The sequence below is a fragment of the Homo sapiens genome, chromosome 20, assembly GCF_000001405.40.
Source record: "Homo sapiens chromosome 20, GRCh38.p14 Primary Assembly".
NCBI lineage: Eukaryota > Metazoa > Chordata > Mammalia > Primates > Hominidae > Homo > Homo sapiens.
Window position 1 is genome coordinate 63,763,278 of NC_000020.11, and position 12,226 is coordinate 63,775,503.

Below are 12,226 nucleotides of genomic sequence, written 5' to 3' on the forward strand. Positions count from 1 at the left end.
TTATTCCTCCTTTCTTGCCTTCTTTCAAATTAATCACGTATTGTATCGGGCCATTCTTGCACTGCTATAAAGAAATACCTGCAACTGGATAATTTATGAGAAAAGAGGTTTGATTGGCTCACGGTTCTGCAGGCTCTACAGGAAGCATGGTGGCATCAGCTTCTGGGGAGACCTTAGGGAGCTTCCAATCATGGCAGAAGTCGAAGAGGGAGCGAGCGTTTCACAGGACAGGAGCAGGAGCAAGACGGAGGGTCATGGGGGAGGTGCCACACGCTTTTAATCGACCGGATCTTGTGAGACCTCACTATCATGAGGACAGCACTAAGGGGAGGGAGCTAAATCATCCATGGAAGGTCCCACCAGGCACCACGTCCAGTATTGCGGATCACAGTTCAACATGAGATTTGGGTGGGGACAGAGATCCAAACTGTATCAAGAATTATTCCATTTCTTCTCCTCATTGAGCCTTTGAATCACACCACTTTTCCTATTTTCAGTCATCATTCCTGTGACTATAAAGAGTCAGAACCACACGACAGTTAACTCTCATCCACCCCACATGCTAATAGTGTCATATGTTTTGCTTCTATTTAGGTTTAAAAATCCCCCAAATTATAATTGTTGCTTTAAACAATCAAGATTATTTTCTATTACTCACACAGTTGCCTTATCTGGTGCTTTCTTTTTTCTTTTTCTTTTTTTTTTAAATAAGAGACGGCCTTGCTCTGTCATCCAGGCTGGAGTGCAGCAGTGCAGCCACAACTCACACCAGCCTCGACCTCCTGGGCTCAAGCGATCCTCCCACCTCAGCCTCCCAAGTGGCTGGAACTACAGGCATGAGCCATTACACCCAGCTAATTAAAAAAAAAAATTTATAGGCCAAGCACGGTGGCTCATGCCTGTGATCCCAGCACTTTGTGAGGCCAAGATGGGTGGATCACTTGAGGCCAGGGGTTCCAGACCAGCCTGGCCAACATGGTGAAACCGTCTCTACTAAAAATACAAAAAATCAGCTGGGCATGGTGGCTCACGCCTGTAATCCCAGCTACTGGGGAGGCTGAGGCAGGAGAATCACTTGAACTCGGGAGGCAGAGGTTGCAGTGAGCAGAGATCGCACCATTGCACTCCAGCCTAGGTGACTGAGCGAGGCCCTGTCTCAAAAAAAAAAAAAATTGTGATGAATATTTTTGTTGGGTATAGAGTTCCAGGTTGGCATCTTTTGCTTTCCAGTACTTCAAAGACGTCATTCATTGTCTTCTAGCTTCTGTAGTTTCTGGGAAAGTCAGCCATCACTGTTGTTCTTCTGAATGTTAAGCATTTTTTCTCTGTTTTTTTTTTTTTTGAGACGGAGTTTCGCTCTTGTTGCCCATGCTGGAGTGCAATGGCTCGATCTCAGCTCACCGCATCCTCCACCTCCCAGGTTCAAACAGTTCTCCTGCCTCAGCCTCCCGAGTAGCTGGGATTACAGGTGTGTGCCACCACACCCGGCTAATTTTGTATTTTTAGTAGAGATGGGGTTTCTCCATGTTGAGGCTGGTCTCGAACTCCTGACCTCAGGTGATCTGCCCACCTCGGCCTCCCATAGTGCTGGGATTACAGGTGTGAGCCACTGCACCTGGCCCTCTGGCTGCTTTTAAGATTTTTTTTTGTTTTTCTTTTGAGACGGAGTCTTGCTCTCTCACCCAGGCTGGAGTGCAATGGCGCGGTCTCGGCTCACTGCAACCTCCACCTCCCAGGTTCAAGTGATTCTTGTGTGTGTGTGCGTGCGTGTGTGTGTATGTTTGTATGTGCATGTGTGCGTGTGCATGTGTGCATGTGTATGTGTGGTTGTGTGTGTGTGTGCGTGTGTGTGTGTGTGGGGCTTAGAGGCTTGGGGTGGGGGGCAGTTGTATGCAGAAGCTGGGGTCCTCCTCTTTGTTTCTTGCTTCTTGGGATTTTGCCCCTCAAGTCCCGGCTCCTCTGGCTGCCCCGAAGGACAATCTCTATCTGTACACTGCCGTCCGCTCAGGGTCCACTTCCTGCTCCAGGGTTTGGGAAATATGCCAGCAACACCACTGGGGTGAAGGGCAGCTCATCTGTGTTCTCTCTTCTCTCAAGGATCACAGCGTTGTCCCACCTGCACTGGCCCCCTTCCCGGGTAGGTTATGTGTGGGCGTTTCTTTTCTTTTTTGATACAGGGTCTCACTCTGTGGCCCAGCTGGAGTGCAGTGGTGTAATCATGGCTCACTGCAGCCTCGACCTGCTGTGCCCAAGCGATCCTCCCTCCTCGGCCTGCCGAGTACCTGGGACCACACGTGCACAGCACCACGCTCAGCTAATTTTAAACTTTTTCTGTAGAGACAAGGTCTCCCTATGTTGCCCAGGCTGGTCTTGAACTCTCAGGCTTAAGCAATCCTCCCGCCACAACCTCCCAAAGTACTGGGATTACAGGCATGAGCCATTGCACCCACTTCATATGCTGAATGAATGTCTGTGTAGTTTCAGGGGAAAGAATGTTAGAAGTAGGGATAAAGTCATACTGCTATCTATTCTAAAAATGTTCTTAGAGCCCTTATCATTTTACTATCTGCCACGAGCATATTTTTTTAGGTTCTATGGCACATGTCTACAATTTTTAAATTGTTTTCAAAAAGTTAACCAAACTCTTTCAGCAAAATGGTACGGAGAGAATCTCTACAACCAGGCCTCCTTATCAACCCCCAAGACAACTCTCTCCCCGCTGGGCCCACCTGCTGCCCACCCTGGAGAGCAAAAGGCAAAGCTGTCATGCGGCCTCTGATGTACCTGCTTCAACAGCACTAGGGTGTGCCCTGCCCATGAACGCAGAGCCCAGGCGTGGACTAATCTCACAGTCAGATGCCACAAGTTTCTTCTGTCATGGTGCCCAGGTTGAGACATATCATCTCAGGCCCAACAGCTGAGAGATCCTTTTTTTTTTTTTTTTTTTTTTTTTTTGAGAGGGAGTTTCGCTCTCGTTGCCCAGGCTGGAGTGCAATGGCATGATCTCTGCTCACTGCAACTTCCGCCTCCCGGGTTCAAGTGATTCTCCTGCCTCAGCCTCTCAAATAGCTGGGATTACAGGCGCCCGCCACCACGCCCAGCTAATTTTTCTATTTTTAGTAGAGATACGATTTCGCCATGTTGGCCAGGCTGGTCTAAAACTCCCGACCTCAGGTGATCCGCCCACCTTGGCCTCCCAAAGTGCTGGGATCACAGGCATGAGCCACTGCACCTGGCCAAGAGATCCCATTTTGACCAAAAAAAAAAAAAAAGCTTCATTTTCTCTACAACTGATATTAAAACTCCAACAGGCATTTGCATAAAGAGGCGTCTGGCAGCTCAGAAGGCACGGCCTGTGTGGACTGCTCTCCCGACCCTCACAGATGCCAGCAGAGCGCGGTCACCTTTGGTAAAATGCCCCAAACCTCACTAGAAATCCCACTTTTCTCCATCTTCAGAAACTCATCTCAGGAACATAAAGGAACATAAAGATTTGAGGAACCAGGGGAGGCTCCAGCAGATGGTTCCAGCTGCAGTGGAGATGGGGACCGTCCGGAAAGGGGATGGGCTGTTGGGCAGATGGTGGGACGCGTCTCTGGCCTGGGAGCGGGCTCCCCCGACACGCCACCTTCCCTGCCAGATGGTGCTTCTGGGTATTCCAGAATCTGGAATGGGGGATGCCTATCCCCCTCCTGAGCCCACCTGCTGCTCTGGGTCCCTGGAGCCCACCAAGTCCACAACCACCTGCTCTGAATAGAAAGCTGACATTGAACCTAACACGTCCGACGAGGACGGGCAAGGGCACCGCGGGGCGCTCTTTCTGAAAAGCAGCACATTCCCGTAATTCCACGCCGACACGTGGAGCGCCGCGCACATGCCAGGCACACACCGCCAAGGACGCCGTGGCAGGCTTTGTCTTTCGATCTCCCTAGAAAGTTGCTGGGTCGGAGCCACGTGGCTCCACTTCCCACGGATGGGGACATGTTTTCCCGCCCCTGAAAGCCCCCCGTCCCCACACATTGGCAATCCCGTAGGATCTCGGTCATCTGAACCCCGTCGGGCAGAAGCTGGAGGTCCACCCGCCCCAGCTGCCCACCGGCTGGGCATGGAGATGCCTTCACCTGGCAGCAGCCGGCAGAGGACTCGAGAAATGACCACAGAAAGGCACACACCGGCTCCCAGTCACAGCTCTCCGCAGATATCCCCCTCCGACGCGGCTGTTCGGTCACCCAGTTCCCCTCCTGCTCCCACACACTTGAGAGCTCTCTCGCCTGGGCAGCTGCACCCAGCTGGAGCCCGGGACCCGGACGCCAAAGCTCTGGCCGCAGCACTGAGGTCAAAGCAAACGCCGGCTCCAGCGCACAGACCAGAGGCACCCGCAGTTCTGTCCCAAACCACTTCCAGCAGGGGAGGTGCCTTCGCTGCTGTCACTTGCTTCACAGAGCTCCTTAGCTGGCCTCAGGGTAAAGCTGTCAGCGCCCAAGGAGCTCCAGGCGAGGCCAAGCCGTCCTGGCACTGGCTGCCCCCAGGGCTGGGCAAGTCCATCCAGGGCTGGGCAAGTCCATCCAGGCCTGGGCTGGAAGAAGACTCCTCAGGCATCCTGGACAGGCCACAGGCCCTGCAGAAACCCACCCTCATGCCAGCGGGAGCCAACTCTGGAAGAGGACTGCTCCGCCCAGCTCTCCACGCCATGAGAGGTGTCGATCTGGAACCAGAGACAGACAAGTTACAGACCGTCAGGATGGGATAAAAGCAGCAAGACTTCTAGTGTGGACACTCTGCTGCCCTCACTCACCTGGGATGTTGTCCAATCACTACTAAGACAGCCTGTCAACAGCCATCTGGAAAGGAAGACTGTAATTAATTCTCAATAAAGAGACACTCAAAAATATATGCATTAACAAAACATTAACACCTGCCACCAAAACTATCCTGTGAGAAATGAGAAACGACTCGTGTGGGAATAGCAATTAATTTCAAAATCCAAAATGTGTGGTTAAGGCTGGGCACCGAGGCTCATCCTAGCACTTTGGGAGACCAAGGAGGCTCATGCCTGTGATCCCAGCACTTTGGGAGGCCGAGGCAGGCGGATCACCTGAGGTCAGGAGTTCAAGACCAGCCTGGCCAACATGGTGAAACCTCATCTCTACTAAAAACACAAAAATTAGCCAGGCGTGGTGGTGTGCCCAACGGGATACCCTAACCTGTAATCCCAGCTACTTGGGAGGCTGAGGCAGGAGAATCTCTTGAACCCCGAAGGTGGAGGTTGCAGTGAGCTAAGATCGCACCACTGCACTCCAGCCTGGGTGACAAAGCCAGACTCTGTCTCAAAAGAAAAAAAAAAAAAGTGGTTGAGCTCTTGTTAAAGAATTTTTTTTTCTCCAGGGAGGTACACACCCCATGGCCCTTTCTTTATAGAAAAGACTCCGCGACTTCAGGCACAGGAAGGAGAATGCCTTCCACCAGGGCTCTGCGCGGCTCGGGCTGGGGCAGTGGAACGGCTTCCACCAGGGCTCTGTGAGGCTCGGACTGGGGCAGTGGCCTCCGAGTCGGGGGTTGGCCAGAAATGTGCAGTGACCAGGCCTGGAAGGGACCGGCCACCACCACTGAGCTCTAGGAACTGATGTTTCCAACCCACTGCAACATGAATTGAATGTCTTTACATTAAGGGAAAAAAATTGCTCAAAATATAAAAACCAATTCAACTTCATACAACCTGTTGCTGTGGGAGTGGAACAATTACTATTGCAAAAGCGAATAACTCGGCTGACCTAAAATGGGTTTTCTCTGTACCTGGCTGAGTTGAGGGTGGGAGAGGAGGGCACATGGAGAGCAGGTGCCACCAAAGTGCCTCCTCGGAGGTGCCCGGGCTCATCTGGGCCGTGGCCACGCACACATGGGTGTCAGGGACACCATGCCCCAAGTGTTTGGCCCAGTTGCCCCAGACAAAGCTGGCCACCCTGGTGTCTTACCTGAGCTGGGGGAGGCTGTGCCGGCTCCCTGGGCTGGGTCTGGCGGTTCCCCAGAGCTCATCCTGTGGCTCTGAGGGTGGAGGGTGGAGGGGCTTCTGTTCTGCCATCAGCGACCCTCACAAGGGACCCAGGCCCTGGGAACACAGGAAAGGAGGAGTCTCACCCACAGGAACGCGCACCAGCTGCTGGGTTCTAGAGAGTTCCAGAAGCACTGACGATCTTCCCGGCATGCGGTGTGAGCCCGGTGATGCCCCAAGGGTCTCGCTGGAGGCAGGTGTTTGAACGCTTTGATCAGCTGGCCAACCCCAAATGCCCGAGGTCTCCACCCATGACTTCTCTGCGGTGTGTCTCTTTCCTAGGAGCCAAGTGATTCCAACAGAGGGTTTTGGTGGAGGAAGTCGGAGCGTGAACACCTCTGGACTGCAGAAATGCTCTCCTGATGAGAACGCCAAGGCACGCTGGCCTGGACCACCTGAAAGTGCAGCACCATGTCCACCAAATGCCCTTTAGTCGGCAACTGTTCACAATTCCAGTCTCGATCCAGAATCAAGTTAAAGTTCTCGATTCATCCTTTAAATACCACAGGGAAACAGTCTTTAAACCACAACCAAAACAAAGACAAGCTGCAACTGTTCTCTGCAAAACGCCTCCTGACGCCCGGGCCCAGCCGCTCCGCCATCTCCACGGCCACCTTCTCCAGTAACGAGCTGGTCAGAAGCCGTCCCCGCAGGAAAGGACTGCAGGGAGCTGGGGTGAGCTTCACGGGAGGCGGCACCGCACCGCCATGGCTGTCCCTAGAATCCTTGACTCTTTAAAAGAGTGAGGGGGGTTACACCAGCAACGCTCCAGAGGCCGCGTCCCACATTTCCGGGCACGGCTGATGCGGGGCTTACAGTCTCCTGTCCCCGGCCGACCGGCCGGCGGCGCATCCTCGGCTTGTCAGTGTGAAGTTGGCTTCCTCGTGCTGTTTGGAGACACGAAGGCAGCACACACCTCAAGGCCCCAGGAGATCAGCGCCAGCCCAGCACAACTTGTGGGCAGCCATGTTCTGAGCCTAAATGACAGTTTTCATGGTTTCTACTGGGAGAACAATGTCTAGTAACAGAGAGGAGGCCCGCCTACTGCTGAAAAAGGAATAAAAGTAAGCACGAAGTTCAACAGAATTGAATGAGAAGTATGGCAAGTCCTCTGACAGGGATGTCAGAGATTGATGGTCTAGTAATGAAACTGCCATCTGTTTAATTTAACAGCCAAGCCAAGGTTACTGGTCCTACAAATCCAAGGAAACTAGTTCAGTTTTTCTAGAATGTTCCAGAACCCATCCCCAAAGGCCCTCTGAGTGTCGGCTGCTCTGTGCTGCTGGCCTGCTGCCTGCATATTTAATGGTTCTCTAAATTCAGAAATCTGCGACCACCATCCCATTTTTGTGCAGAATTGCCACGGCCGGACGCTGTTTGTTGAACCACGGCGCATTCATGACGAGGAGAACTGGGCAGGCGGTGGGATCCCCACCCGGCACCCCGTACCGCAAAGGGGCAGTGGACACACAGTGAGGACCGCCGTGTCCCCATTTCCTGCACGATGCGCCAGCCCACGGGGAGGTACACTCGACAGGACACCCTAGAGACCACGCTAACAAGAGGCCCAGCCCTGGAAATGCTCATCGCCTGCAACCAGCACATGGAGATGGTCGCAAGTCAGCACCGGCCACGCCCGGCACAGCAGCCACGCCGCTCGAACCACAGCAGGGGCCACGTCAGCAGGAGGTCGCAAGTCAGCACCGGCCACGCCCGGCACAGCAGCCACGCCGCTCGAACCACAGCAGGGGCTACTCGCCCTCCCAGGCCCTCTTCAGAGCTGGCCTGAGTTGAAGCTGCGTTCCTCCTGCTCTGAGGGCTGGGTACCGGGGACCCTCGCCCAGCCGAGGCCGCTCTTGTCTTCTTCTCTCTTCCGACAGGGAGCGGAGGAGAGAGGAGCCGGCGGCCCCCGGGGCTCAGGGGCGCATTTCCAGAGCTGCAAGATGGCGGGGGGGCTACGCCACAAGCTGCAATGAGCTGCCCCCACTCTCCGGCCCCCACAGTCACCCCCACATTCAGCAATGGGAGGACACGGCTCTGCGTCCATGACCCTCCAGAAGGAGGGGAGGGAGAGAGGGGGGCCACGCGGTCCCGCCGGGCCTGGCGCTCCCGCACGGTGTTGAGAGACTTAGAAGTCCGTGAGTTCAACGCTTCAGATCAGCAGACGGCGTCAGACCCCGGGGCTCAGTTCTCTCCCCCGATCAGCGTCCACCTGGGTACCGGCGAGTGGGGCTACGCCGTGAACTCTGAGGCGCTCCTCCACCGCGGCAGCCCCCCGAGAGGCCAGGCCCCCGGACCCCACCTTCAGATCACACCGAGGCGCCTCGGCTAAGGCTTCCCTGGACGCAGGCGCTGGTGTCCACGGTTTACTCCCGCGCGGATTCCACGGGACCACCTGTCGGGGACAGAAGGCCTACGGCAGTGAGGGAGGACCACAGAACTTTGGAAAATCCAAGTTTTTTCTGAGTATTTCCATTATTTACCTCAGTGCATGCCGGAAACAGGCAGGGGCCACACAGGATGCCAGAAAATTACGTTTTAAAATAACCTGTCCCCCGCCGAGTTCTACAGCCACTCTGCTGGGCAGGCGTCTGGGGCATCCAGTTCACAGCCCGACAGGCGAAGGATGCTGACAACTTCTAAACCGTGTTTACAGAAAACAAAAGGGCAAATTCTTTTTTTTTTTTTTTTCTGACGAGTTTCGGTCTTGTTGCCCAGGTTGGAATGGCATGATCTCGGCTCACGGCAACCTCCTCCTTCCAGGTTCAAGCGATTCTCCTGCCTCAGTCTCCCAAGTAGCTGAGATTACAGGTGCCCGCCACCACACCCGGGTAATTTTTTGTATTTTTAGTAGAGACAGGGTTTCGCCATGTTGGCCAGGCTGGTCTTGAACTACTGACCTCAGGTGATCCACCTGCCTTGGCCTCCCAAAGTGCTGAGATTACAGGTGTGAACCATCATGCCTGGCCCAAAAGGGCAAATTCTTACAAGAGAAATAGAAAATTTAGAATATTAAAAATGAGGTTAGAACTTAAGAGAAATAACAAAAGACCCACCAGCCAACTTCACCTGGAATTAGTCACAGATGAACTAAAAACTGAGTGAGATGGGGCCAGGCGGGATGGCTCACGCCTATAAACCCGGCACTTTGGGAGGCTGAGGCAGGCAGATCGCCTGAGCTCAGGAGTTCGAGACCAGCCTGGCCAACATGGTGAAACCCTGTCTCTACTAAAAATATAAAAATTAGTGGGGTGTGGGGGCACCCATCTGTAGTCCCAGCTACTTGGGAGGCTGAGGCAGGAGAATTGCTGGAGCCCGGGAGGCAGAGGCTGCAGCGAGCTGAGATAGTGCCAATGCACTCCAGCCTGGGCAAGAGAGCGAGACCCTGTCTCAAAAACACACACACACACACACACACACACACACACACACACACACACAGAAGTGCGGGGTGTGCCCTCACCCCACCTTCAGGATTTAGGACACACTCAGGATGCAGAGGACACAGCACTCTCACTGCAGGGAGAGGCCCTGGGAAAAAGCCAGAACCACTCAAGGTCCCAGCCTCAGGCTCCGCGGCCACTCCCTCCACGTGCTCCGGGGCTCGCTTCCGGAAAGGAGGGGCCCAGAACAGAAAAGCCCCGAGGAAGGGGAGAAACTGCCAGGGCCACCAAGGCCGAGCTGGGGTATGTGTTCCCCAAGGTCAGACCTGGCACCACAGGGCCCACAGCTCGTATGCCACGGGTGAAATCGACATCTTCTGCCAAGCCGTGCCCTCCGACCCCATCTGCTGCACACACAAACCAGCAAAGGCTTCATGGACGGAGCCACACCCAGGGAGGGCTGTCAGACGCAGAAACAGTAGAAAAAGCACAAACAAATTGTTTCCCCTCAGTCCAATGGCTTTTTTTTTTTTTTTTGAGACAGTGTCTCACTCTGTCACCCAGGCTGGAGGGCAATGATGCAATCATGGCTCACTGCAGCCTCAACCTCCTGGGCTCAAGCGATCCTCCCACCTCAGCCGCCTGAGTAGCTGGGACTACGGGCACAAGGCACCATCATGCTGGGCTAACTTCTTGTAGGGATGGGGTTTCCCCACGTTGCCCAGGCTCCCAAAGTCGTTCTTAATGACCAAGACACACCAGCTGTACCTGGGGTGCTGCAAAGGAACTGGGTGTGTTGGGGTCCCTGCCCTGAATGAGTGTATACGACGGTCTGAGAGATCCACAGGAAACAGCACCCAAGCCCCTCATGTGAAAAGGCGCTCGGAGGGGAGGGTAGTGAGGGAGGCCTGGGATCCCCCTCCGACGGCACCCACGGGCATGTGCCACCGGCCGCACCCAAGCTGCTCATGTGAAAAGGCGGTCGGAGGGGAGGGTAGTGAGGGAGGCCCGGGATCCCCCTCCGACCGCACCCACGGGCATGCGCCGCTGGCCGCACCCAGCCTGTCCCTCCTGACGCCCACGAAACGTGCCCAGCGCTCCATCTGACCGGCTGGCCGACTGCAGGATGCCCACATGCCCTGCCACCGCCTCCTGGAAAGGCCCCAGTACCCCGGGGTTTGCTCAAATCCAACCATTTCTGCTGACAAGTACACTTTTGCATTTGAGAGGGGACGGGGCCAACATCTTGGAGCATAAATCACAAACACTCTGCCTGCACCGTGTTTGATATTTTAGAAACGCTATTTTGTTTGAATTCACAACAGCTGTGTAAGTGGCACCCCCCGCCCCCCCCCCCCCCCCCAGTTTTTCAGATGTGGGAAGTGAGGCCTCAGGATGTCTGTGACAGCCCAGCACCCACAGCTTGTCCCGTCTGTGCAGTGCTCAGCCCTGAGCCTCACTTTCAGGGCCAAGACCCTTCGACGGACACGGCTCCTCACTGAGTACACGGAATAAAGGGAAGGTGAACACCACTTTCCACATGTAGTCTTTATTACCCACAAACAGTTGGCATCAGTGCTCACACCAACGCGAAAATTCGAAAGAATATTTTAGTGCTTATGAAAACAAAGTTGTAAAAATATTGTTTTTTAGAGCAGCGTAAAGAAACAGAGAAACAGATATACTTCCCAAATCCCAGCATCAAGGACAGCTGGCACGTTTCCTTCCTTCACTTCCCTCAATACTCAGCAAACAATGTGTCCACACCACTCAGCACGCCTGGACCCCAGCCGCGGAGGTGGGGGCATCTCATGCCGGACTCGCTCCCTCCTCCCCTGGAGAGAAACGGGAGGCGCCTCACTCACTCTCAGCCGCATGCTGAGTGCCAGCTATGTGCTAGGTGCCAGCACCAGGCCTTGCCCGGGGGCCCACATGAGCGCGAGACCAGAAGGCAGCTGGCTGGGGGCTGGCTGCGGTGGGTTTTTTTTGTTTTTTTTTTTGTTTTTTTTTTTGAGACAGAGTCTCCCTCTGTCGCCCCGGCTGGAGTGCAGTGGCGCGATCTCGGCTCACTGCAAGCTCTGCCTGCCGGGTTCACGCCATTCTCCTGCCTCAGTCTCCCGAGTAGCTGGGACTACAGGCGCCCGCCACCACGCCCGGCTAATTTTTTGTATTTTTAGTAGAGACGGGGTTTCACCGTGTTGGCCAAGATGGTCTCGATCTCCTGACCTCGTGGTCTGCCCGCCTCAGCCTCCCAAAGTGCTGGGATTGCAGGCGTGAGCCACCGCGCCCGGCCCCTTTGTTTTTTTAAACTCCGAAAGCTGAATGCCCCCGTCTTGTCAGGAAGTCAGTCAGTCTGGGGTGAGCCCGACACGCAGCAGTGGCTGAACTTTTGGCCACATCTCGGCAGGCGCGTCGTCGTTTGGATTCAGCTGGGGACATTTACGTTTTAAAGACAACCTCCGACGCATCTTTAAAAGTCACACGCCACCAGCATCATCCAGCGAAGGCAACGCAAGGCGAGGCCCCCAAGTGCAATCGGCTCGCAGCGGCCGCCCCCATCTCCCTTGCGCGAAACGAGCCTCAGCACGAAGGCGACAGAGGGGCCGGCAGGGGGCGCCCGAGCCCGTCTCTGGAGCACAAAGACCCCCGGCCCCTGCGCGACCCGGACGAGCTCGCATTCAGCCAACGACTCCTGTGAGAAACATTCCAGCAAGCACTCGGCTGCTCCCCTGCCCGCCGCGCTCACAACCGCGTCCATTCCCTCCTCACTCTAAAGCCAGCCCCCCGTGCACCT

General features: G+C 55.0%; 1 protein-coding gene and 1 long non-coding RNA gene across 13 annotated transcripts in view, besides 2 other annotated features; both read right to left on the reverse strand.

Moving 5' to 3' along the window:
* The window catches only part of ZBTB46 (zinc finger and BTB domain containing 46), a 90,226-nt gene that overhangs the window by 19,608 nt on the left and 58,392 nt on the right, over window positions 1-12,226 (reverse strand). The window contains exons 4-5 of one of the 12 annotated variants that reach the window (XR_001754167.2): window positions 5,973-6,106; window positions 4,796-4,841 (exon numbers count right to left, since the gene is read on the reverse strand). The exons of 9 other annotated variants lie outside the window; for them this stretch is intronic. Coding sequence is in view for 2 of the 3 variants with exons in the window: in XM_017027667.2 (XP_016883156.1) it covers window positions 6,030-6,106 (77 nt within the window). In the remaining variant the exon portion in view is untranslated. Of the gene's footprint in view, window positions 1-4,795; window positions 4,842-5,353; window positions 6,107-10,965; window positions 11,268-12,226 lie in introns of those variants that run through there. 2 more of the 12 variants (XM_017027667.2, XM_011528549.3) reach the window with 2 other exon arrangements.
* Window positions 7,195-8,772, reverse strand: LOC124904956 (uncharacterized). The gene is made up of 2 exons (XR_007067720.1): window positions 8,533-8,772; window positions 7,195-8,444 (listed from the first exon to the last, which is right to left on the reverse strand). It is a non-coding gene; the product is annotated as an uncharacterized LOC124904956 (long non-coding RNA).
* Window positions 7,359-7,533: a silencer, noted in NCBI's record as "fragment chr20:62401989-62402163 (GRCh37/hg19 assembly coordinates)". NCBI's record gives its function as "represses an EF-1alpha promoter that drives an FKBP-Casp9 reporter gene in an ReSE screen in K562 erythroleukemia cells {active_cell/tissue: K562}" and the evidence as "EXISTENCE:reporter gene assay evidence [ECO:0000049][PMID:32094911]".
* Window positions 9,126-10,042: an enhancer, noted in NCBI's record as "H3K27ac-H3K4me1 hESC enhancer chr20:62403756-62404672 (GRCh37/hg19 assembly coordinates)". NCBI's record gives its function as "activates a minimal SCP1, AML or CMV promoter by ChIP-STARR-seq in naive H9 embryonic stem cells {active_cell/tissue: H9 hESC(naive)}" and the evidence as "EXISTENCE:reporter gene assay evidence [ECO:0000049][PMID:30033119]".